This window comes from Homo sapiens, chromosome 4 (assembly GCF_000001405.40).
Source record: "Homo sapiens chromosome 4, GRCh38.p14 Primary Assembly".
Lineage (NCBI taxonomy): Eukaryota > Metazoa > Chordata > Mammalia > Primates > Hominidae > Homo > Homo sapiens.
Window position 1 is genome coordinate 70758144 of NC_000004.12, and position 27537 is coordinate 70785680.

At 38.6% G+C, this 27537-nt stretch overlaps 1 protein-coding gene across 21 annotated transcripts in view; it reads left to right on the plus strand.

Annotated features, from left to right (window-relative positions):
* Positions 1-27537, plus strand: part of RUFY3 (RUN and FYVE domain containing 3) — a 104853-nt gene that overhangs the window by 54377 nt on the left and 22939 nt on the right. For all 21 annotated transcript variants that reach the window (XR_007096385.1, XR_007096384.1, XR_938709.4 and 18 more), the window contains 9 exons: positions 4376-4549; positions 5409-5526; positions 6332-6433; positions 10395-10518; positions 15368-15429; positions 17025-17090; positions 20226-20295; positions 24948-25040; positions 26653-26736. Coding sequence is in view for 18 of the 21 variants with exons in the window: in XM_011531750.3 (XP_011530052.1) it covers positions 4376-4549; positions 5409-5526; positions 6332-6433; positions 10395-10518; positions 15368-15429; positions 17025-17090; positions 20226-20295; positions 24948-25040; positions 26653-26736 (893 nt within the window). In the remaining 3 variants the exon portion in view is untranslated. The remainder of the gene's footprint in view (positions 1-4375; positions 4550-5408; positions 5527-6331; positions 6434-10394; positions 10519-15367; positions 15430-17024; positions 17091-20225; positions 20296-24947; positions 25041-26652; positions 26737-27537) is intronic.

The window sequence follows — 27537 nt, forward strand, 5'->3', positions numbered from 1 at the left end:
CCAACAAACAGAAATTCACCTGCCCTCAGAAGCCCCTCCATACTCTGTCAGGTCATTGCAGCCCTTTTTAACAGGATAGGTTAGTTTTGCAAAATCATTTTACACTTGAATAGTATTTAAGACAAGTAATGTTGAATAGAAAATATTCTGTGACAAATCAGGTTAATGATTTAATATTCATTATTAGCAGCCAACATTATTTGTAGGCCAGGTGTAGTGGCTTATACCTTTAATCCCAGCACTTCGGGAGGCCAACATGGGAGGATGGCTTGAGGCCAGGAGTTCAAGACCAGTTTGAGCAACATAGCAAGACTAAATAGCCATACTTTTGTATACTATTCAGCACAAAAATGTTAATAATAAGAATTAAATAATACTCATTTTAGCTTTTGTGTTCATTTACAATGAGCAATATATTCTTTTTAAAATTTTTGATGTGTAATAATTATACATATTTAGGGATACAGACTGACATTTTGGCTCATGTATACAATGTAATGATCAAATCAGGGTAATTAGCATATCTCTTGCCTCAAACACTTATTTATTAATTTTGGGAATATTCAAAATCCTCTCTTCTAGCTATTTGAAAATATAAAAAAAAAAAAATTATTGCCAGGCGTGGTGGCTCACACCTGTAATCCCAGCACTTGTGGGAGGCCGAGGCAGGTAGATCACGAGGTCAGGAGATCAAGACCATCCTGGTTAACACAGTGGAACCCCATCTCTACTAAAAATACAAAAAATTAGCCCAGCGTGGTGTGGGTGCCTGTAGTCCCAGCTACTCGGGAGGCCGAGGCAGGAGAATGACATGAACCCGGGAGGCGGAGCTTGCAGTGAGCCGAGATCGTGCCACTGCACTCCAGCCTGGGCGACAGCAAGACTCTGTCTCAAAAAAAAAAAAGAAAATTATTGACTATAGTCACCATACAATGCTACAGAACACTAGAACTTACTCATCTTATCTAGTTGTAGCTTTGCATCTGTTAACCAACCTCTCCCTATCTTCCCCTCCTCCATACTCTTTTCATTTTCTAATAATCACAATTCTACTCTCTACTTCTATGAGCTCAACTTTTTTAGCTTCCACATATGAGTGAGAACATGTGGTATTTATCTTTCTGTCCCAGACTTATTTCACTTAACATAATGTCCTTTAGGCTCATCCATGTTGCCATGAATCATAGGATTTCATTCTTTTTATGGCTGAATTTGTGTGTGTGTGTGTATGTGTGTGTGTGTGTGTGTGTGTGTGTGTATACCACATTTCTTTATTCATGTTGATGACACTTAGGTTGATTTCATATCTTGGTTATTGTGAATAGTGCTGAATTAAACATGGGAATGCAGCTATCTCTTTGTTATATCGATTTCCTTTCCTTTGGATAAATATCTGGTAGTGGGATTGCTGAATCATATGGTAGTTCTACTTTTAGTTTTTTGAGGAACCTCCGTACAGTTTTCCATAAAGGCTATACTAATTGACATTCCCACCAACAGTGTATAAGAATTCCCTTTTTTCTGCATCCACACCAGCATTTTTTATTTTTTGTCTTGTTAGTAATAGCCATTCTGAGTGAATTGTTACTTTTAAGCTCTTATCTCTAACAATCAAATTACTATAACAGATTTTTGTTTCACTTTCATTTGTTTAGATTAGTAGTTCTCAATGTGGAAGGACCTGATTTAATCTCCCAAAGAATATTTGGCAGTGTCTGGAGACATTTTTGGTTGTCTTAACCCACCAAAAACAGTTGTCAGTGCTACTGACATCTAGTGTTACCCACTACTGGGTTGCTGTGAAAATTAGTTTTCAGAACAGAGCCCCATAAAAATGAATTATCTAGCTTAAAATGTCAACAGTGCCAAGGTTGAGAGTAGTGTTTTTTAAAGAATGGGTAGGTTGTTTATGTTTGATGGAAGTTAGTTTAAATAGATTGTAGCACCTTACTAATGGAGTCCATGATATCAGAAATTTAATTCCCATAGACGCTAGTTAACCTGTCTGTAGTTCATGCACTCCAGACCTCAGCCAGATGTCTTAAACATTTCTGCTGCAGATTATAAGAAGAACAAGATGAGAAAATGTAGATGGGTTGGTATAAATCTATCACTACTTCTGGAAAAATGTCTCAATATGATATTTTTTACTTAACCCAAGTCTATCTCTCACCACATGACTAGTTCTCACTACGTTGGAATCAGCTTGTAAACTTTGACTAGCAGCATTGTTTAATCTTGTTATAAGTTCCTGAATTAATGGTCTACAGGCTTGAGGCAGAGTGAATGCCTCAAAGTTATGGGCAGGCAGTTATCTAGTACCAACCATAGTCTCCTGCCATCTATTGGGAGGTGTCAGGTGGGAAGGCTAGTAGCCCTCTACACATATTCATACCCACACCCCAGCTCTATTTTTTTTTTTTGAGTAATTATAGGAGGTCAGAAACACTAGAATGTACATACATGCTGGTAATAAATGGAAATTAATATCTGATAGTTTTCTTCATGGCTGTCTTTCAGGGCATAGTTTTCCATGTATTTTGCTGTCCTCTTGTGAGAATACTACCCTTGACAAGTTGATCTACATTTAAGCTATGGCCACATTTAAACTATGGCCCTAAAACATTTGTTGTTATGCAAGAAAGAATTAATGGTGATATATACCAATTCTGACTCTCACATAAAGTGTTTCTCCAAAAGTAACCTCAGACAACATAACAACAAACCAAGATTTATATAGTTGGAATTGCAAATCCGTAAGTCCTTAAACTTAATGAGAAGATTAATTTGGAATTTGACCATTTGACTCTGCTCATTTAACTTTGAAAGCAGATATAAATAAAAACCTTGTATGAAGAAAATTGCTTGGGATAATTTGCATTAAACAGTCTGTTTTTTGCTAAGTGGCTTATTTGTATTATGGAAGCATAGCCTTATTAGTATTTTTAGTCTTCCTAAGAAGAAATGGAATACATCATAGAGCTCTAGGCCTTCTTTAGTTTTCAGTACAAATTTGGTATATTTGGTGTTTGGGAGGATATACATGGCATAAGGTAAAGAGAGCATTAGCTTTCACGTCAGATCCAGGTCCAGATTCTGCCACTTATAAACTGTTACACCTTGGACCACCTAGCTATTATGGGCCTGCTTTAGCACCGGAAAGAAGGGAGAATACCTAAATATGATGAGAGAATAAGTAGGTAAAATAATCATGTAAAAGAATGGTCAGGAGGAGTCTGGCCTCTGGCTCTGTCATTTATTATTGTCTGTGCCCATGGGCCGGCTGCAACTATTTGATTGACCTAAAATGGGATGGTGACTTGCCCGAGGTCATACAGTGAGTCAGGGCAGAGCAGCTGAAGCTTTACTCTCTAAGTCTCATTTTCCTTCCCTGTAAAATTGTTGTATTGGTGACTGTCTCACAGCATGTTGTAAGGAGAGATGGAGATCATAATTGTAAGAGGTAGCCCACAGTGCTGGCACAGTGTAAGCACCAATAAATGAAGGTAATGAGTACAATAAAATGTGTCACTTAGCCCCTTTCCCCAAATAGTTTATCCATCTGGTTGATGAGAGCCATACACTGTATGCTAAGACTTAAAAATGTGGGAGTTGATTAAGTTCTAGTACTGCATTATACTAATAATGCTAGTGCATAGTTTAAAGAATAATAAAATACCATAATGCAAAGTTTGTTTAAGCCCTTTACCCTTTTTTTCCTACATTGGGGCTTTATTTTTAGAGCACTTCACAAATTATGCAGAGAAAAGAGGGGTAGGCAAGAATGGAAGCAGAGAGAGCAGTGTGAAGGTAGTACAGTAGGGAGTTATGACAGATGCTTAGGTTAGGGTGATAGCAGAGGTGGTGGTGAGACTATTAAAAGACTACTCAGCCAGGCATGGTGGCTCACGCGTATTATCCCAACACTCTGGGAGGTCGAAGTGGGAATATCGCTTCAGCTCAAGAGCTCAAGACCAGCCTGGGCAACAAAGTGAGACCATGTCTCTACAGAAAATACAAAAATTAGCCAGTGTGATGGCGTGCGCCTATAGTTCCAGCTACTTGGGAGGCAGAGACAGAAGGGTTACTTGAGCCCAGAAGGTTGAGGCTACAGTGAGCTATGATCATGCCACTGCATTCCAGTTTGGGCAACAGAGCAAGACCCTGTCTCAAAGAAAAAAAGAAAGAAAAGACTACTCAAGGCTTGAGATTTGATAAAATAGTTCATTTTACTGCTTCATTGAGGATATTCTTAAAGGAAACTGGCATTTTTTTTCACAGTGAGTACATGGTGGAGAAGAATACAACTAATACTGAATTTTAAAATGTGCTATTTCTAGTAACCAGCCTTCATCTTCTTCCCCTTTGGCTGCAGATCCTAATTATCTCATGGCTAATGAACGCATGAACCTCATGAACATGGCCAAGCTGAGTATCAAGGGCTTGATTGAATCAGCTCTGAACCTGGGGAGGACTCTTGACTCTGACTATGCACCTCTCCAGCAATTCTTTGTGGTGATGGAGCACTGTCTGAAACATGGCTTGAAAGGTAGGCCATCACCCCAAAATGCAAATATGCATGCAGCTGTTTTCTAGCAATGCATACTATAGAAGAAAGCATTCTTTGTGGAGCCAAAGAATAAGAGGCTTGAATTAATAATATTAATCCATTGGAATGCAGTCTTTTATAGGAGCAGGGTTATGGTTGACTCAATGGACTTATAGGGCTTTAAAAATACAGATCATTAAATGTTACAGTTGGAGGGGCCATTATAAGTAATCAAGTACAGTACAGTAGTTCTGTTTGACAGGTGGAAATAGGCCTGCCCAGAATGAGACATGACTTGGTCAAGGTCACACATTGAGTTGTGGCAGAGTAGGTGCTAGAACTCAGGTCTCCCGACTCTTGGGTCAGTGTTCTTTCCACTTAACTATAAGCTTTTGAGGGCAGTAACTGGTCTTGTTCACCCTTGTTTCCTTTCTTCTTGCCTTCTCAATATTCTTTTCTTGTTGTTTTTTGTTTGATTGTTTTTTTTAAATCTGTATGCCTATGCTTACCAACTTCCCAATATTCCATAGCCTATTTCTGGATTACATATTCTTTTCTATTGAGCTGTTTTCTTCATTAATACCACACAATTTTAGGCACTAAATTGTTAAAATGTTTTATTATATTATAGGGCTAGGCCACAAACTGTTTGTGAAAGAAGAAGGGCTGAGTCTTGGGAAGTAGAGAATTTTTTTATTTTCACAAAATATTATCTATTCTAAAAGCATGAATGAATCCAAAACCATCTTATAACCTAGGATTGGTTTCCTGAAAAGTTGTGTGTGTATGTGTGTGTGTATTGAGAGTGCGCTTATGTTGTAAAGAATATTAAAATACTGCTTTATTTTTGTTGCCTTAGCTAAAAAAACTTTTCTCGGACAAAATAAATCCTTCTGGGGGCCTCTAGAACTGGTAGAAAAGCTTGTTCCAGAAGCCGCAGAGATAACAGCAAGTGTTAAAGATCTTCCAGGACTTAAGTAAGTCTAAGGTTGAATTCCATTTCTCAGGAACAGCATTCTTATTAACTATCCCTTGAAGAGCAAGACTAAAGACAATTATGTACGAATAATTTATTTTATAACAATCCAAAATGCATGATGTCATGAATAGGTGCTGACAGGAGAGAATTGGTATACAGAATATTGAGAAAAATGTGCTCTTGAGGGATAATTATTCATCTAAGAGAGATTGTCTTTTTGTTGAAATGCCAAACATTTGCTTATTTTTTAAAGCACTTGGGAGAATCATATCTAAGGGGGTGGCATGCTGTACTTGACTTAGGGAAAAAAGGTATTCAGTGGGTTTGAGAGTCAAGATTAAAACAGCTGTCAAATTAACCTGAAGAGCTAGTGACTGTAGCCTGCCTTAGAACTATAAAGTAGTGACCACCTTCCCAAATGAGACTGGTTTAATTTTAATCAGACAGAGGCCTAGATTGCCTGTGTCCACATTCATGCTTTGGACATTTATATAATCCACACTGAATTTATAAGGATTTGCTATTATTGATCTGATGGAACATTTTTAGTTGGGTCTCCCAGAGGCTGTGTCTTCAAATTGTAGTTACATTCAGTAATTCTTTTTGAAAGCATTTGTTCCGGGTCACATTAGCCCACACACAAAAATTCCTTGCATGGGAATGTACTGGGAGAGGTCCTGAGGAGCACCTCAGTGTGCTTGTTACACTGGAATACCATTAGCAAGAATAAGTGAACTGATTCTACTGTAGCCTTTGCTTCTGGTGCTTATGTTTTCAGTTGTTTGATTTCTGTGTTTTTGTAGGACACCAGTAGGTAGAGGAAGAGCCTGGCTTCGTTTGGCATTAATGCAAAAGAAACTTTCAGAATATATGAAAGCTTTGATCAATAAGAAAGAACTTCTCAGGTATGAACACCTTCTTGAACTTTCTTCTTTCCTTGGTATGTTCTACATCGTATAAAGTCAAACCATATAAGTTCACTATTTTTGTAGATCAGAAACATTTGATTCATAACAGCTTCACTGATACTTTCTCTCATACCTCACACACATATCCTCCCAAATGGATGATTTATGTTATGTGTGTTCTGTCTGTCACTGTGGCATATATTGGTCCTTTCCAAGGCAGGCCAAGACTTACCTCTAGAAAACAGAAGGCACCTTAGCATGTGCCCAGGCTCAATAAGACAAGAACTTGACATGTAGCATTAAATTCAAATATAGCACAAAATTGGACGGGTGCAGTGGTTCACGCCTGTAATCCCAGCATTTCGGGAGGCCAAGGTGGGCAGACCACTTGAGGCCAGGAGTCTGAGACCAGCCTGGTCAATATGTCGAAACCCTATCTCTACTAAAAAAATATAAAAATTAGCCGGGCGTGGCGGTGGACACCTGTAATCCCAGCTACTTGGGCGGCTGAGGCACGAGAATCGCTTGGACCTGGGAAGTAGAAGCTGCAGTGATCCGAGAGCGTGCCACCACTCTTCAGCCCGGGCGACAGAGTGAGACTCTGTCTCAAAAAAAAAAAAAAAAAATGTGTATATATATATATATATTTGTAAAATCACAAAATCTTCCAGTAGATCATAGATACAACTGGGAGAGGCAAAACAACATTATTTTATCCGTCTTTATTATATGATTCCATTGTATAAAGGTCAAAACTAGGTAAAATCAATCTATGGTGATAGAAATCAGGATAATAGTTACCTTGAAGAGGTGGGGGTAGAGATTGGAAGAGAGAAAGAATCCGATTTCTAGGATTTCAGTACTGTTCTCTTTCCTGATCATGATAGTGATTACACAGATAGATGTGTTTTTTGTGAAAGTTCATGGAACTAACAGTTAGCTGAGATTTGGAAATGTGTGAATGTTGGAATTCAGCCATATTCCACTTCTGAACAGTTCATAAGGTTAGGCTTTTGGGACAATAAACTGTCAAAGAACCTTGTTCATTCCAGTTCTACTCAGTTTCCTTCAGAGGCTATCAAAGAACAAAAATAGCATGTGATCAGTTTTTGAGAGAAACAGTAAATTTGCAGCTCATTCACTTGCTGTTTTTGTGCTATTTTGTCATTTGTTAATATCTTTTTTTTTTTTTTTTGAGACAGAGTCTCACTCTGTCACCAGGCTGTAGGCTGTAGTGCAGTGGCGCTATCTCCACTCACTGCCACCTCCGCCTCCCGGGTTCAAGCGATTCTCCTGCCACAGCCTCCTGAGTAGCTGGGACTACAGGCGCACACCACCACACCCAGCTAATTTTTGTATTTTTAGTAGAGACGGGGTTTCACCGTGTTGGCCAGGATGGTCTCGATCTCTTGATCTCGTGATCCACCCACCTTGGCCTCCCAAAGTGCTGGGATTACAGGCGTGAGCCCAGCCTATTAATATCTTTTATAGTGAATCAGAAAAGAAATAAGGAACTAATATCAGTGAATTATATTGATTGTTAACAGTGATTGAGGTTGACCTTTACCCCCAGGTAACTTGTTGAAAACAAATTGATTGCAGTGTTGTTTTAATCATGATGTCAAATTGACTGAAAATGAATAATTCAGGTCACTGGGTTTTCGTGTTTTGTTTTGTTTTGCTTTAAGAGACTCGCGCTCTGTCACCCAGGTTGGAGTGCAGTGGTGCAATCACGGCTCACTGCAGCTTCCACCTCCCAGGTTCAATCGATTCTCCTGCCTCAGCCTCCCGAGTAGATGGGACTATAGGCATGCACCACCACACCTGGCTAATTTTTGTATTTTTAGTACAGACAGGGTTTCACCACGTTGGCCAGGCTGGTCTTCAACTCCTGACCTCAAGTGATCCACCTGCCTCAGCCTCCCAAAGTGTGGGGTTTACAGGCGTGAGCCACCGCACCCGCCTGTTTCCATTTTTTTAAAAAATCTAAAAGACTATTTTTTAGAGTGGTTTTAAATTTATAGCAATATTGAGTAGAAGGTACAGATATTTTTCATACATACCCTTCCCCCCTGTACAACCTCCCTCATTATCAACATCCCACAGGAGTGGTACATTTGTTACAATTGATGAACCTACATTGACACATCATTATCTCCCAAAGTTCATAGTTCACATTAAGGTTTACTCTTGGTATTGTATGTTTTATGGATTTTGACAGATGTATAATGATATGTATCCATATGTCATTATAGTACCATACAAAATAGTTTCATGGCCCTAAAAAATCCTCTGTGCTCCACCTATTCATCTCTCTGTCCTCCAACCCCTAATAACCACTGATCGTACTGTGATTGTACTGTTGTTACCAGGGGTTTACTGTCTCTGTGGTTTTTCCTTTTCCAGAATGTCATGTAGTGGGAATCATAGAGTATATGGCCTTTTCAGACTGGCACCTTTCACTTAGTAATATGCATTTAAGTTTCCTCTGTGGCTTGATAGCTCCCTTTTTTTTTGTTCTTTGAGACAGAGTTTCACTCTTGTTGCCCAGGCTGGAGTGCAGTGGCACGATCTCAGCTCACCGCAATCTCCGCCTCCCAGGTTCAAGTGATTGTCCTGCCTCAGCCTCCTGAGTAGCTGGGATTACAGGCGTGTGCCACCATGCCCGGCTAATTTTGTATTTTTTTTTTTTTTTTTTTTTTTTTTTTTTAGTAGAGACAGGGTTTCTACATGTTGGTCAGGCTGGTCTCGAACTTCCGACCTCAGGTGATCCACCCGCCTTGACCTCCCAAAGTGCTGGGATTGCAGGCGTGAGCCACTGCGCCTGGCGATAGCTCCCTTTTTTTAGTGCTAAGTCATATGCCATTGTCCATTCATTTACTGAAGGACATCTTGGTTGCTCCCAAATTTTGGCAATTAAGAGTAAAACTGCTATAAACACATGTATGCAGGTTTTTGTGTGGACGTAAGTTTTTAACTCAGTTGGGTAAATACCAAGGAATGCAATAGTTAGATCATATGAATTACATCACTGGTTTTTTTGTGTGTGTATTAGTAATTTAGGTGCATTATAAGCAGTATTTAATTATCTATGGGTCTTCACGAATTTTTTTTTTTGAGACAGAGTGTTGCTCTGTCACCCAGGCTGGAGTGCAGTGGCACAATCTCAGCTCACTGCAACCTCCGCCTCCTGTGTTCAAGCGATTCTCCTGCCTCAGCCTCCTGAGTAGCTGGGATTACAGGTGTGCACCACCACACCCAGCTAATTTTTGTATTTTTAGTAGAGATGGGGTTTCACCATGTTGGCCAGGCTGGTCTTGAACTCCTGACCTCAAGTGATCCACCCGCCTCGGCCTCCCAAAGTGCTGGGATTACAAGCGTGAGCCACCGTGCCCAGCCAATAATTTTTATCCATTCAGATTTTTTTTTGTTTTTAGTAGAGATGGGGTCTTACTATGTTGCTCACTCTGGTCTCAAAGTCCTGGGCTCAAGCAGTCCTCCCGCCTTGGTCTCCCCAAGTGCTGGGATTACAGGTGCGAACCACCATGCCGAGCTACCAAACAAATGTTTTAAGATGCATAAAAGATTGCAAAATTATCTGATGGTGCATCACAAGTACAAATATGTCAGAAAAGTCTGAATACCTGCTTCAACCACAATACTGTTCAGTCACGTCTTTCTGCCAGCCTATTATTTAAAGAATCTATTCATGCGCCTATTATTTTTTTCTTTTAAAAAATTTTTTCTCCAGTGCCACTTGCCAACATCCACCTATTATTCTAAAAGTAAAATATTTACTAAAGCCTTTCTTTTTGTAGTTTTTTTTTTACTATTTTTGTAGATGGCTATAATCAACCATGATGACTATGATTCAACCATGAATCAACCATTTTTGTCCTTGTCTCTGGATTTTTGAGATTTTTGTTACAATAAGGAATTCTGTGGATTTCTCTTACAGTGAATTCTACGAACCCAATGCCCTCATGATGGAAGAAGAAGGAGCCATAATTGCTGGTCTGTTGGTGGGTCTGAATGTCATTGATGCCAATTTCTGTATGAAAGGAGAAGACTTGGACTCTCAGGTATGGGAAAGAGACTCATTCCCATGGGTGTCACTCTGAGTTCTGCTATCTCAGAAGTGGATTTGATTAGGTTATACCAACCAAATTAGGCCATATTCTATGAGTCATAAACAGGATTTCCTTCCATTTTGATGGGAATATAAAAAAAAGATTGTTTTTCCTTCCAGTTTGGCTCATTTATACGTTACGAATGTTTTTTAGATTCTTGTCTTGGCTGTACTCTCTGTTAAACATACATATACACACACACACATACACATTTACATACACATACATACACACACAAACACAGGTATACCCAGAGATATTGCAGGTTTGGTTTCAGATCACAACAATAAAGCAAATATCATAATAAAGCAAGTCACATGCATTTTTTGGTTTCCCAGTACATGTAAAAGTTTGTTTATACTAGGCCAGGTGCGATTGTTCACACCTGTAATCCCTGCACTTTGGGGCAGGAGTATCACTTGAACCCAGAAGTTTGAGACCAGCCTGGGCAACATAGTGAGACCCCGTCTCTACAAAAAATAAAAAATTAGCTGGTTGTGTAGCTACTTGGGAGGCTGAGGCAGGAGGATCACTTAAGCTTGGGAAGTCGAGGCTATAGTTAGCCATAATTGTGCATTCCAGCCTGGGTGACAGTGAGACCCTGTCTCAAAATAAAACTCTAAAAAAAATTTTTTAAATAAAAAGTTTGTTTGCATTATACTGTAGTCTATTAAGTATGTGATAGTGTAAGTGTAAAAAATAATGTACATACCTTAACTTAAAAATACTTTATTGCTAAAAAAATGCTAACAATCACCTGAGCCTTCAGTGAGTTGTAATCTTTTTGCTGGTAGAGGGTCTTACCTCAGTGTTAATGGCTGCTGACTGATCTTGGCAGTTGCTGAAAGTTGAGGTGGCTGTGGCAATTTCTTAAAATAAGACAACAATGAAGTTTACCACATTAATTGGCTTCCTTTACAAAAGATTTCTCTGTAGCATACCACGCTGTTTGACAGCATTTTACCCACAGTAGAATTTCTTTCAAAATTGGAGTCAGTCCTCTCAAATCTTGCTGCTGCTTTATCAACTAAGTTTATGTAATACTCTAGTAAACCATGCTGTAAACAGATGTGCTGTCTTTGTTGTACCCTTTATTTTTGTTTTGTTTTTGTTTTTGTTTTTTGTTTTTTAGAGACAGAGTCTTAATGTGTCTCCCAGGCTGGAATGCAGTGGCACCATCTCAGCTCACTGCAACCTCCGCCTCCTGGGCTCAAGCAATCCTCATGCCTCATCCTCCTGAGTAGCTGGACTACAGGCATGCACCACCACACCTAGCTAATTTTTTTATTTATAGTAGAGATGGGGTTTTGCCATATTGCCCAGGCTGATCTCAAACTCATGGCCTCAAGTGATCTGCCTGCCTTGGCTTCCCAAAGTGCTGGGATTACAGGCATGAACCACCATGCCCAGCCCACTATTCCATTTATAAAGCATAGGCAGAGTAGATTTAGCATCATTCTTAAGGGCCCTAGGATTTTCAGAATGGTAAATGAGCACTGGCTTCAACTTAGAGTCACCAGCTGTATTAGCCTCTAACAAGAGAGTCAGTCTGTCCTTTGCAGCTTTGAAGCCAGGCATTGACTTCTCATCTATAGCTATGAAAGTCCTAGATGGCATTGTCTAATAGAAGGCTGTTTTGACTACAGTGAAAATCTGTTGTTGAGTGTATCCACCTTCATCAATTATCTTAATTAGATCTTCTGGATAACTTGCTACAGCTTCTATTATTTACATCAGTGCTTGCTGCTTCAACTTGTACTTTTATGTTATGGAGACACTTTCCTTAAACCTCGTAAACCAGTGGCTGCTAACTTCAGGCTTTTCCTCTGCAGCTTTTTTACCTCTCAATCTCCATAGAATTCAAGAGCATTAGGGCCTTGCTCTGAATTAGGTGTTGGCTTAAGGGAATGTTGTGGCTGGTTTGATCTTCTATACAGACCACTCAAACTTTATTCCTGTCAGCAATAAGGCTGTTTTGCTTTCTTGTCATTCATTTGTTCATGAGTAGCACTTAATTCCCTTCAAGCACTTCTCCTTTGCTTTCACAACCTGGCTGTTTGGCCCAAAAAGCCTACCTTTTGGCCTGTCTTCTCTTTCGACATGCCTTCTTCACTGAGCTTAATTTTTTCTGGCTTTTGATTTAAAATAAGAAATGTGCAATTCTTCCTTTCACTTGAACACTTAGTGGCCATTGCAGGGTTATTAATTGGCCTAATTTCAGTATTGTTGTGTCTTAGGGAATAGGGAGGCCAAGGAGAAGGGAGAGAGATGGGGGAACGGCCAGTAAGTAGAGCAGTGAGAACATACACATTTATGGATTGCTTGCCATCTTATATGGGCGTAGTTCATGGAGCCCCAAAATAATTTTGATAGTAACATCAAAGATCACTGATTACAGGTTATCATAGCAGATGTAATAATAAAGAAAAAGTTTAAAGTACTGTGAGAGTTACCAAAATGTGAAACCGAGACATGAAGCGAGCACATGCTGTTGGAAAAATGGCACTAATATACTTGCATGACGCAGGGTTGCCACAAACCTTCAATTTGTAAAAAATGCAATATCTGTGAAGCAAAGTGCAATAAAATGAGGTATGTGTGTGTGTGCGTGTGTGTGTATACTAAAATATATGCAGTTGACTCTTGAACAACAGAGTAAGGCATTCCACATGGTAGAAACATCCCACATAGAAAATTCACCTAAAACTTTTCATTCCCTAAAAACGTTAAGTACTAATAGCATACGATTAACCAGAGGCCTTACTAGTAACATAAACAGTCAATTAACACATATTTTGTATATTATAAATAGTTATATTTATATTTATTTTATTTTATTTTTGAGACAAAGTCTCACTGTCATCCAGGCCGGAGTGCCGTGGAGTGAACTCAGCTCAGTGCAACCTCTGCCTCCCAGGCTTAATTGATCCTTCCACTTCAGCCTTCAGAGTAGCTGGGACTATAGGAACATGCTACCACACCCAGCTAATTTTTTTGTTTTGTGGAGACAGAGTTTCGCTATGTTGCCTAAGCTGGTCTTGAACTCCTGAGCTCAAGTGATCCTCCTGCCTCGGCCTCCCAAAGTGCTGGGATTACAGGCATGAGCCATGGCGCCTGGCCTATTGTATATTTCATATGCTGTATTCTTACAATAAAGTAAGCTAGAGACAAGAAAATATTATAGGAAAATTATAAAGATGAGAAAATATATTTACTATTCATTTAAATGAATGGATTATCATAAAGGAACCAGATCATCATAAAGGTCTTCACACTAACCAGATTGATGAGGAGGAGGAGGAAGAGGAGGCGGTTGGTCTTGCTGTCTCAGGAGTGGCAGAGATGGAGGAAAACCTTTTTTTTTTCTGCCTGGATGACAGAGTGAGACTTTGTCTCAGAAATAAAATAATATAATATAAATATATATTTTATATTGTGTATATATATAGTATATAGGTGGACTCGCACAATTCAAAGTCGTGTTGTTCAAGAATCAACTGTACAGTTGTCCTTCAGTGTCCAAAGGAGATTATTTCCAGCACCTCCATGAATACCAACACTCACAATGCTCAAGCCCTTACAGTCAGCCCTCTGCGTCCTTGGATTTTAGGACTTGCTGAGAATGAGAGCGAACTGTACTAAAGGCCATTAAAGCACGGTAGTTAAGAGTAAAGGCTCTGAAGCTAACTGCCTAGGTTTGGATTCTGGCTTCCTCATTTTCTAGCTGAATATATTTTATAATTACTTAGTTTCTTGTTGTTTCAGATTTCTTGATGTAATGCAGTTAGAACAGGGCCTAGTACACATTAATTGCCCAATAAATAATGTTTTCACTTTAATTACTTCTCACCCTTTCTGTATGAAATACTATGACAAACTTCTGTTATGTTTTATTCTGGTAAAATAGGAAGGGAAGTAAGATTTTTTGGTGTGGATTTTTTTTTTATTTTTTTATTTTTATTTTTTTTGAGACGGAGTTTTGCTCTTGTTGCCCAGGCTGGAGTGCAATGGTGAGATCCTGGCTTACCGCAACCTCCACCTCCTGGATTCAAGCAATTCTCCTGCCTCAGCCTCCCGAGTAGCTGGGATTACAGGCATGTGCCACCACACCCAGCTAATTTTTGTATTTTTAGTAGAGACAGGGTTTCTCCATGTTGTTCAGTCTGGTCTCGAACTCCTGACCTCAGGTGATCCACCCGCTTCGGCCTCCCAAAGTGCTGGGATTATAGGCAAGAGCCACTGCGCCCGGCCTTTGGTGTGGATTTTTAAAAAGAAATAAGCTAAATAATAAAATGGCAATCTTGAAAAATGAAGACGTGTACATCAATGAAAGTTTGGAGGAACAGACACCAAAATATTAGCAATGGTCATCTTCAGTGGTTGGGATTATGAGTGTTTAATATTACTTCCCCTTTTTTTTAGCTGTATTTTCTGAAACTTCTACAGGGGAAATGTGCTAATTTTTAAAAAGTTATTTCTAAAAATGAACAGGGATTCAGTAGCAGAATACCCGAAATAAGCAAAAGAGAAAGAAACTTTAGACCTTATTTATATTAAGTATTCTGTTGACTGTGTTAGTTGTGATCTAGTCTTCTAGTCTTATTGACATAATCTTGATTCTTTACTTCCAACTCTTGTTAATTCTTGATTAAACTGAAAGTAAAACAGTACATTTTTAATCGTAAATTTCTAGTAAGTGTCATGACTGTATTACTGTTTTGAGTGCCTAGAAGGAGACATTGTGTTATGCCTTGTAAAGAATATCTAATTTTATATTAAAACCTGAAAATTCTCTCTGTAGGTTGGAGTTATAGATTTTTCAATGTATCTCAAGGACGGGAACAGCAGTAAAGGTACTGAAGGGTACGTACAAAGAAAATTAGATTTCTTTTCTCCTGATGTAGCATTTTTTTTCCTTTGGTGGTACTTAAAGTTTACAACAATACTGTTTTAACAGACGTGCTGAAAGAATTTCTGATCATATAGCTTTAATAAAGTCTTGCCAGAAATATCTGACTATTACGCCTACCTCTAAACCCTAAAAGGATTTTTTTGTTTGTTTGTTTAATGATTTTCCTGCTATGTGGTTCAGGGGCAAAGAAAATACAAATTTTCTAAAGGATTCCAATTCTCCATGTCTTATAGTAGGGTTTAAAAACATGGTCATTTTGACCAGAGGAGTCGCATTCTCAGTTTGCTTAAAATTGGCAATATGAAATATGCACTGTGAGGTTATGTAAAATATTGACATTAGGGGAAACTGATTGAAGGTACATGGGAACTCTGTGCTGCGTTTATACCTCTTCTTGTATATCTAAAATTGTGTTAAACACTTTTAAAATATTCATTATGGTACTTAGTAATTAGAGATCAGAAGCACATCTATTCTTTTTATAAATTTAGCCATTGAAAGCATAATTAGTCTGATTTTTAATTTTTGACATTGAGCTAAGATTATCTCACTGTTCTTTTAGTAATTGTATAGGTTTGGGGCCTTAATTTTATCTTACAGCTGAAAAATCTGGCTGTTTATCTTTTGTCTACTACAGATTAGTTGGTTGTAGACGTGAACCTTCTTTATCCACAGTTTAATTTTTCATGTAATAATAAACATTTGGGCCGGGCATGGTGGCTCATGCTTGTAATCCCAGCACTTTGGGAGGCCGAGGCAGGCAGATGACCTGAGGTCAGGAGTTTGAGACCAGCCTGGCCAACATGGTGAAACCCCATCTCTACAATAATACAAAAAAAAAAAAATAGCCAGGCATTATGGCGGGTGCCTGTAATCCCAGCTACTTGGGAGGCTGAGGCCGGAGAATTGCTTGAACCCGGGAGGTGGAGGTTGCAGTGAGCCGAAATCACACCATTGCACTCCGGCCTGGGTGACAAAGCAGGACTCTGCCTCAAAAAAAAAAAAAAAAAAAAAAAAAAAAAAATATATATATATATATATATATATATAAAATAAACATTCAATCTTCGTGAAACCCTTTTTAACCATTCACTTTAAATGTTAAATAGCACTTACAGACAAATATTTAGCCCTTGAGAACAGCTATATTACATCAGAGTGAGCTTAATTCAAGTCCTATGACAATTGGAAAGTTGTTACTATAAATACTACTAGTGAAGCTGAAAAACCTATTAACAAGAAAATTTTTATCCTTTAAATGCGTCTAATAGATTGCAACATCATACCTGTGACCTAAATTATTAATACTGAGGTTTGTAAGCTATAACAAGAGCTTTATTAGTGAGGGGTTTTGTCATTTTTAAACTCCTGACTCTTTCTTGTTGCTATGTCAAGAGGGTTTTACATCAAATCTGTCTTATGGTTCAGTGTATCTGTGCCACAATTTTTTTCTCATGTTTTATGAAAAGATGGGGTGGGGTGGGGTTGGGATCTTGGTATTTCTTATGTTATTTATTTTATTTCTATTTTCTTCCCCTTCCCCCAGAGACGGTCAGATTACTGCAATTCTGGACCAGAAGAACTATGTAGAAGAACTGAACAGACATTTGAAGTAAATAATGAATAAATATATTACTTTACTGGGGAATTGTTGAAGGAGAAGGGAAGAGTAAGATGATGCGCAGTGAGGATAAATTCAGACAGTGTTCAACAAATATATGTAGAATTCCTGTTTGCCAGGCACTGAGTTAGGCACTAGATAAATAAATGGCATTTAACAGTTTTGGTGACCTTTAGTGAAAGGCAGTATATAATGTTATATATAATATATAATAACATAGTATATAATATTACGTATGTAATTATAACTCTAGTGATTAAATAGATAAATACGTAAATACATTCAGTTAAGAATTTTAAAATATGTGACATATACAGTTGAAATTGGTAGCTTTTTCAGTTTAGTAGAGATAGCTGCATATTTCAGAACTGATCTTGGGTAAACCACTCATTACATTAGTACCTTTAAATTAATCATATCGTCCAGGTGTGCTGGGCCAAAGCCTGTAGTCCCAACACTTTGGGAGGCCAAGGCAGGAGGATTGCTTTAGCTCAGGAGTTCAAGATGAGCTAGGGTAACATAGCAAGACCTTGTCTCTATTAAAAAACTCAAAACTAGCCGGGCATGTGCCTGTAGTCCCAGCTACTTGTGGGGCTGAGACAGGAGGAGGATCACTTGAGCCTGGGAAGCTGAGGCTGCAGTGAACCCTGGTCTTGCCATTACACCCCACCCTGGGTTACAGAGCGAGACACTGTCTTAAACAAAAAAAAAAAAACGAAAAAAAAGATACATGCTTTGTTTTCCTGCATTTCTCATTTATACATTGAATTAATAGCATTAATTTAATATATAAATTGAATTTCTTTGCCATTATTACAGTTAATTCACCAAGTATTCACAAAGTACAGTAGTTCCCCCTTATGTGGAGGGGATACATTCTAAGACCCCCAAAGGATATCTGAAACCACAGATAGTACCAAACCCTATATATGCTATGTTTTTTCCTATACATATGTACCTATGATAAAGTTTAATTTATAAATTAGGCAAGGTAGGAGATTAGCAACAATAATAAAATAAAACAACTTTAACAATAGACTATAATAAAAGTAATGTGAATGTAGTGTCTCCCTCAAAATCAACACATCCTTTTATTTTGTTTTCATTGAACTTCTTCTTCCTAGTTTTCTCAGGTTTTTTTCCCCCTTCAGTTTTCTGTATTTATATTTCTTATTGTCCTTAAATGACTATGGCTATTCTATATCTGAGCACAGTGAATAAAACATTAAAGTTTAATTAAAAATTAAAGAGGCCGGGAGCAGTGGCTCACGCCTATAATCCCAGCACTTTGGGAGGCCGAGGCAGGCGGATCACAAGGTCAGGATATGGAGATCATCCTGGCTAACACGGTGAAACCCCATCTCTACTAAAAATACAAAAAAAATTAGCCGGGCGTGGTACCAGGCGCCTGTAGTCCCAGCTGCTCGGGAGGCTGAGGCAGGAGAACGGCGTGAACCCGGGAGGCAGAGCTTACAGTAAGCCGAGATCGCGCCACTGCACTCCAGCATGGGCAACCGAGCGAGACTCCGTCTCAAAACAAAACAAAACAAAACAAAAATTAGAGAAAGAAAGCATTAGAAATACCAGTTTCAAGATTTTGTGCATTGAGAAATCATTATTTCCAAAAGATTTTCTAAGGGCCACTGTCCTTACGACAATTCAGTGTTGTATATATGTTCACAGTTTATTTTTTTATCTTAGGAGAAGTAAAAATCCTTACTGGATAATCCTTATTTATTTGTGTTTTTTAAACATACTCATACTTCCCTCTATTGTTTGTGTCATAGAGAGCACAAATCAGATTTGGACATCTTATGTGGGATTTAAACAAATACGTTTATACATGAGTCTATCAAAATCCTTATTTACATGTAAGAAAAAAATACATGCCCAGCTTTGCCCAAGGAAGTCCCAGAGGGAGAACAGTATCTTATTGTACTATTCTTACCTATTTTTGAACCACAGTTGAGTGCAGGTAACTGAAACCACAGAAAACAAAACTATAGATAAGAGAGGACTACTGTATTTTCAGAATTTTCCAGAACATAAAACAGTTTCCTCTCTCCTGAGAAGAGCTATCCAAAAGCTATTGGTATTCTCAAGTACTTTGATGTTCTTGTTATGTTAAGACTACTGAATAATTTTGAAGAATAATTAATATATTCATTAATTATCTTGTTTGTAGTTCTCTTATGAAAAATAGACATTTTTAATTTAAGTAAAACTTATAATATGATTATACTACTGTCAGTAAAATTTTAAGTAGTCTTGGTTCCACCTAGCAAATTCAAAACAATTTAAGTACATTTTCTCTGGGGACCAAGAACTAATATAATGACTTTAATGAACTATGGAGATGTTAGCCAAGCAAAGATATGGTTACAGTTAACAATGAAATATAAACAATGGCACTATTATTTACTCTTTCTATGCCTTAGTTTCTTTATCTGTAAATGAGAATACCTAACATAAAGGGTTGTTGAAAGGAATAAATGCAATAACGCAAATAACGTAATTTAGAAGAGGGTTTGGTGCATGTAAGTATTTAATTCATATAGACTGTTATTATCATATGTAGATAAACAAAGTTTATTCTGTAGGGAATGAACTCTTTTATTTCATTGAATAAATACTTACTGAATTAAAACTCAAATGCCAAAGATAATAGCCTTTTGTAAGCCTAGAGGTCAAGATTTGTGAGCATTAAGGCCTGGCGCAGTGGCTCATGCCTGTAATCCCAGCACTCTGGGAGGCCGAGGCAGGTGGGTCACTTGAGGTCAACAGTTTGAGACCTGCCTGGGCAACATGGTGCAACCCCATCTCCACCAAAAAATACAAAAATTAGCTGGATTTGGTGGTGCATGTCTGTAGTCTCCAGCTACTTGGGAGACTGAGGCAAGAGAATCACTTGAACCCAGGAGGCAGAGGTTGCAGGGAGCCGAGAATCGCACCACTGCACTCCAGTCTCAGCGACACAACGAGACTCCGTCTAAAAATAATAATAATAATAAAATAAAAAATTATGAACATTAGACAATGAAGGATAAGTGTGAAGGGTTTAAAAAGGAAGGTACAGAGTATTGTCTGTTTTTCAAAAGTGACTTTTTTTTCTTCTCTATATTATAGTGCTACTGTAAACAACCTTCAGGCAAAAGTAGATGCATTAGAAAAATCCAACACTAAACTGACAGAGGAGGTAAGTTTTGGAAATGCTTTGATTGACTTATAGAATTTAATATGCATTAGTAGAACCAATAATTTTAATGTAACCTTGGAAAGAAAGAACTTGACTTTTCAAATAATATTGACTGTAGTACATAACTTCTTATTCTTTTTTTTTTTTTTTTTTTTTTTGAGATGGAGTTTCGCTTTTGTTGCCCAGGCTGGAGTGCAGTGGCGCGATCTTGGCTCACCGCAACCTCCGTCTCCCAAGTTCAAGCGATGCTCCTGCCTCAGCCTCCCGAGTAGCTGGGATTACAGGCATACACCACCACCCCGGCTAATTTTGTATTTTTTTAGTAGAGACGGGGTTTCTCCATGTTAGTCAGGCTGGTCTTGAACTCCTGACCTCAGGTGATCCACCCGCCTCAGCCTCCCAAAGTGCTGGGATTACAGGCGTGAGCCACCTCGCCTGGCCCATAACTCCTTATTCTGACTAGAACGGCCCAGTTGGCTTATTGCAGGGATCTCATTTACCCAATTAGACTGTGTAGGGGCATGTTGCCAGGTTGATGGAGTATCTTGGTTTCTTTCGTGTGCATGTTTTGTCTGGGCTAGCCTAGATTAAATGTTTAGCATATAGCATATTCATCATTTATTCAGTAAGCGTTTCACACAGTTTATGTGCAAGAGCTAGACAAATATTTATATGTGCCAGGCATTGATTTATGTTCCAGATTGGCAAACTCCCCACCACTTATGTCCTTGTTTTCTTCCTGGGACAGTTACATAGATAAGGTGAAGAGTACTGGTCAGAAGATCAGTAATCCCTGCCTACAAATCATGCTTATGTAACTCATGTGCTCCTGAGTAAGTCAGCCACTTGACCTCCAAGAGGCTGAGTTCCGTCACTGGAAAATGAGAGTGTTTACAATACACTTCCTTTTCGGCCTCACAATTAACTCTGAAGATCAGATAAGAATATGAAAACTCTTAGAAAAGTCCCTAAAATAAGAACAGAAAAATAACCTCATGTTTTACTTCTAATAAAAATATTTTTTCCTTAACTTGCCAAGCCTTAGCTACAGATATTTTTTCTTTAAATAGCATTAGATGGTTTTATGAAAAATACTAAATAACATTGTCCAGATGGCAAAGAGTTTACCTTCCTTATTTCTTTTTCTTTTTTTTTTTTTTTTTCTGAGATAGGGTATCATTCTGTTGTCCAGGCTGGAATGCAGTGACACAAGGGCTTACTGTAACCCCCGCCCCCCGGGCTCAAGTGATCTCCCACCCTCAGCCTCCCAAGTAGCTGGGATCACAGGCACACACCACCACACCTGGCTATTTTTAGTAGAGAGGGGGTCTTGCCATGTTGCCCATGCTGGTCCTGAACTGCTGAGCTCAAGTGACCCGCCTGCCTCGGCCTTCCAAAGTGCTAGAATAATAGGCATAGCCACTGCGCCTGGCCCACCTTCTTTATTTCTAATTGTAATGATGCCCTTACACCCCATGGGATGAATTTAGTTTAAATAAAATCAAATTAAAGCACTAGTCAGGAAGATGCTTTTAATCAGTTTTTCTTTAGAATGAACATTTTCATTATTATAGTTTTAAAATACCTTTTTTATTACTCAACTCTGTGACCTTCACTTTCGGACAAAAATTTTTAAATTTTATATATCTTAAAACTTTATGCTTAGGGTCCTTAGAATCTTATCACATAGGCTTTTGGAATGTTCAGCACAGATTTTTTACTGTTATTCTGCTGCTACTATGTTGAAGCAGTACAGCATAGCAATTAAGCATGATCTCTAAAGTTAGGCTACTTGGGTTCATGTCCTGGCTCTGGCACTTGCTAGTTTTTTGTTTTTTTGTTTTGTTTTGTTTTGTTTTTTGTTTTTTGTTTTTTGAGACAGAGTATTGCTTTGTCGCCCAGGTTGAAGTGCAGTGGTGCCATCTTGGCTCACTTTAACCTCCACCTCCCGGTTCAAGCAATTCTCCTGCCTCAGCCTCCGAGTAGCCGGGACCACAGGCATGCACCATCACAGCTGGCTAATATTTGTATTTTTATAGAAACAGAGTTTCACCAGGTTGGCCAGGCTGGTCTTGAGCTCCCGGCCTCAGGTGATCCACCCGCCTCGGCCTCCCAAAGTGCTGGGATTACAGGCATGAGCCGCCGTACCCAGCCACTTGCTAGTCTTCTAATCCTGGGCCAATTACTTAAGCTTCTATTCCTTGATTTATTTATCTATAACATGGAAATAGCAATAATAACATTTTATGAGATTGCTGTGTGAATGAAATGATTTAATACATGATTAGGGCTTAGAACAGTACCTAACACATCATAAGCACTCAATAAATATAGTTGTTAATTTTATTCCCTCAGTCATAAGACTTGTCTTCCTTAGAGTCATATTAATACTAACAATATTTATTCATTGACTTATTTATTTTACCAGTAGCACTTATTTTCTTAAAGAAAATATGCTCTAAGAGAGTAGACGAGGCTCATTAGTTCTGCCTTTTTTCATTTCCATTTTGGGTTTAAGAAAGCCAGTAAGGCCAGGCACAGTGGCTCATGCCTGTAATCCCAACACTTGGGACATCAAGGTGGGTGGATCGCTTGAGGCCAGGATTCCAAAACCAGCGTGGGCAACATAGCAAAACCCCATCTCACAAAAAAAAAAAAAAGGGCCAGTAAAAAAGATAGCAGACCTCTTTTCCCCTCCTGGGTTTTGAATCTGAATGACAAACTAAGAAGAATTAAGCAGATGAAGATATAAATATCCACTTCAGGCCTGGCACAGTGACTCACACCTGTAATCCCAGCCCTTTGGAAGCCAAGGCAGGAGGATCGTTTGAGGCCAAGAGTTCAAGATTAGGCTGGGAAACATAGTGAGACCCCATCTCTACACCAAAAAAATTAGCCGGCTGTTGTGGTGCACACCTGTAGTCCCAGCTACTCGGCATGCTGAGGAGGGAGGATTGCTTGAGCCTGGGAGACCAAGGCTGCAGTAGCCAAGATTGTGCCACCACACTCCAACCTGGGCAACAGAGGGAGACCCTGTCTCAAATAAATAAATAGATAAATAAATGTCTACTTCATTATTGGTAAAGCTGAATTGGAAAGCCTCCTGTGATCTGCAGCCATAATCAGGTTTCCCAATAGTTTCTCTTAAATCAAGATTTTGGAATGACCTGCCTGAGGGCATACTTGAATCTAGAGAGGAGACCTACTTGCCCAGAATTGGTTTCGTGCACATTTTTAGGCCACAGGATCTGAGAGAGAATTGGACTTCCAGGCCTGCCCCCAGAAAGCATGAGCTTCTCTGTGCTTACCATGTTAGGACAGGAACTGAGCAGAGCCTGCACCCACTGCTAATGAGGAGATAATAATTGAGGAGACTAGCCTGGCTGAGAGGAGCCTGCTTGGTTATTCCTCTCGGCCTCATACAGGCACCTTCACATTCTCCGGGAGTTTAGTAGATGCAGAGAAGAAAAAAGTGTTTCCACCTTACTTTTTCCTTCTAAGAAAGAGATATAAATGTTTCCCTGTAGCAGTTGACTGCTAATAACGTTACCTGATCTTTTTAGGTGTTGAAATGAAAAATCTCCTCAATGCTTAATGGGATCTTTTAGCATGAGAACTTTGGAGTTCATGTCTTTAATCTTTTAAGAAATCATCTATAAAAGATCTTATAGAGCGTTTGTCACATGGGTTCCATGGTGTGACAGGACCCCTTTATTAAACATTTTAGAAATAGACATTATTAATAAATAATTTTTTTCTTACTAAATATGTGTACATCTATAAGAACACCCTTGAGATAATCTTAAGTTAAAACTTTTCATATAAAAGTAGCAGTAAGGTGATATTTTATTTCTTTTTTTTTTTTTTTTGAGACCGAGTTTCACTCTCACCAGGCTGGAGTGCAGTGGCGCGATCTTGATCTCGGGTCACTGCAACCTCTGGTTCAAGCTATTCTCCTGCCTCAGCCTCCCGAGTAGCTGGGATTACAGGCACACACCACTACGCCCAGCTAATTTTTGTATTTTTAGTAGAGATGGGGTTTCACCATGTTGGCCAGGATGGTCTCGATCTCCTGACCTCGTGATCCGCTCGCATCAGCCTCCTAAAGTGCTGGGATTACAGGCATGAGCCACTGCACCTGGCCAAGGAGATATTTTTTATTTTTATTTAGACTGCTCTAAAAATATTTCTTGGTCGGGCGCAGTGGCTCATGCCTATAATCCCAGCACTTTGGGAGGCCGAGGTGGGCAGATCTCTTGAAGGCAGAAGTTCAACACCAGCCTGGCCAACATGGTGAAACCTTGTCTCTACTAAAAATACAAAAATTAGTTGGGCGTGGTGGTGCATGCCTATAGTCCCAGCTACTTGGGAGGCTAAGGCATGAGAATCACTTGAACCAGGAGGCAGAGGTTACAGTGACCCGAGATTATGCCACTGCACTCCAGGCTGGGCAATAGAGTGAGGCCCTGTCTCAGAAAAATAAAGAAAAATATTTCTCTTGAGTTCTTATAAGAACATTTTTATTGGGTTATAGCTTCCTTGCTTTCTAAGAATATCCAAGCCTGAGAATTACATCCTAGCAGATCGTGAATTATCTTATACTATGTTAATTTTAAAAAGATAAAAGATTATTTTTAAAATTTTATCCACAGCTTGCAGTTGCAAACAACAGGATCATTACCTTACAAGAAGAAATGGAACGAGTTAAAGAGGAAAGTTCCTACATACTGGAATCCAATCGGAAGGTTAATCTTACTGGATTTATAAAATATTCACTGAGAGCATATCAACTTGTTAGTGGTAAAGGGGAGTCTCTAAAGGACTATTTTAAGCAGCTGGCCTGTATCAAGCACACTTTTTATTTAGACTCCATGCATAATTGTGTGATGAAGGTTGTGGGAGGGTTATGCGCCTTTTTCTACAAGATGCTTCGTGGCTTCACAGCCACCTACATCTGTTTAGAGACTTCAAGAAACAGTCTAATTCAGTTTCTTGTTTTTATGTACTAATGGTTCAAACAGTATTTAATAATTTGTTATGTTAAACATACTATTACTTTTATAGCATGTTACTGTTTTGTAAGAAGTGACACCTTATTTATATATCACTGGGAAAGAGCTACCATATAAATGTATTTTCTACATAACTTAATTCCTTAAAGTATCAAACTTTTTATACATGTCTAATTAGAATTTTGTAAACCTTTATGTTTTGTACAATTCCAAGCCTTCTTAATTAAGGACATAATTTAATACATTTAGCCCTTTACGATGACTGAGGATCATTAATTACCAACATTGACAATTCCCTACTAAATTATAATAGTGCCACTTTAGGAGGCTATTGAAATTGATAGAGCTTCTGACACCTACACTTAAATATTCCCCGATTTCTGTGGATGGTTTTTTTTCCTGTCTTTTACGTATTCAATAGCATCTCTTACTTTTTACTGATGCTCGGTGTTATCTTTAGGATGATCTCTACTTTCTTTTATCTTCATGCTTCTAATCTACTCTCCCTAGGAATTCAAATCCATAGTTATTAAAATTGTTCTTAAAGAGTTACTAGGCTCTGCGAGGGGACAAAAGCAGTTTTCCATGAGTAAAGTGATTGACTTTAATAATGCATGGACTTCATGACTGCTCAGAATAATTTTTTTATGACCTGCTTGTTTTTATCTGTGATCTTGCTGGATAGTTGAAGATAACCAGTTGCGAATTCTCTGGAGATTGAATGTATTAACATTTAAACCTATAGCCCCTGGGCTGGGTGCAGTGGCTCACGCCTGTAATCCCAGCACTTTGGGAGGCCAAGGAGGCAGATCACTTGAGGTCGGGAGTTCGAGACCAGCCTGGCCAACGTGGTGAAACCCCGTCTCTACTAAAAATACAAAAATTAGCCGGGCGTGGTGGCGCACGCCTATAATCCCAGCTACTCGGGAAGCTGAGACAGGAGAATCGCTTGAACCCAGGAGGTGGAGGTTGCAGTGAGCAGAGATTGAGCCACTGCAGTCCAGCCTGGGCGACAGAGTGAGACTCCGTCTCAAAAAAGAAAAAAAAAAAACCTATAACCCAACTCATATTTTGAAATGAATGCTATGTTATTTTTAGAGGCTGATTTTTAAAACTTCTACCATCTGGTTTGGAAACCTATTTTAGGATTTTAAATAAAGTGTCAGGAAGCCCCCAATTCAGCTTAACCTTTAAAAATGTACTAGACTTCAATTTCTTTGTTGTGTTTGTTCATTATTATACCTGCTTCAGTATGATCTTTTTTTCTTGCTAAGTAGCAGTGTTAGTGTCTAATTCTGTATAGATTAAATCCTTAAATATGTACAATGTTATTTATCTTTTCAAGGGTCCCAAGCAAGACAGAACTGCAGAAGGGCAAGCACTAAGTGAAGCAAGAAAGCATTTAAAAGAAGAGACACAATTACGATTGGTAAACTATGCTTAATTTCTAATAGTTCAGGAATATATTAAAAGGTAACTGCCCACTTAGAGGTTTTATCATACAGACCAAGATTAGGAATATCAGTAGTGTTCTGAAAAATTCTAGATCCTATAAAATGGTTCATCTCTTTTTAACCCACATTCCTTATCATACTTTCTCAATCTTTTTCTGAGTATTCTCAACAAGATTTTGTTAATCTTTATTTTTTTGCTTTTATAGTTTGTATTACAAGAATATTAAGTATACAGAACCTACTTTTTTAAACTATGCCGTCTCACTCCTACCTAAGTCCTCATCCCTGCAAAGATTCTTGGAGGTGGTGGCTCCTCTTTTCTTTACAAAGAATCATTAATGTAGGATTACTCTATTTTATTTTTAGCTGTTATTTCTGATTTATTATTGGTCTTAGATATAAATGGAAAATTTATCATCCAGTATTAGTCTTAAGATTTTTTTAGAAATTAAAAAAAATACATATCAATATATAGATAGAGAGTATATCATCTCACTCTAATCAGAATGGCAACTATCAAAAAATTGAAGGATAAGTGTTGACAAGGATGTAGAGAAAGAGAACCTTTACACACTGCTGGTGAAAATATAAATTAGTATAGCCACTATGGAAAACATAGTTGTCTTAAAAAATTAAAAATCGGGCCAGGCACAGTGGCTCACACCTGTAATCCCAGCACTTTGGGAGGCTGAGGCGGATGGATCACGTAAGGTCGGGAGTTCGAGACCAGCATGACCAGCATGGTGAAACCCCATCTCTACTAAAAATACAAAAAA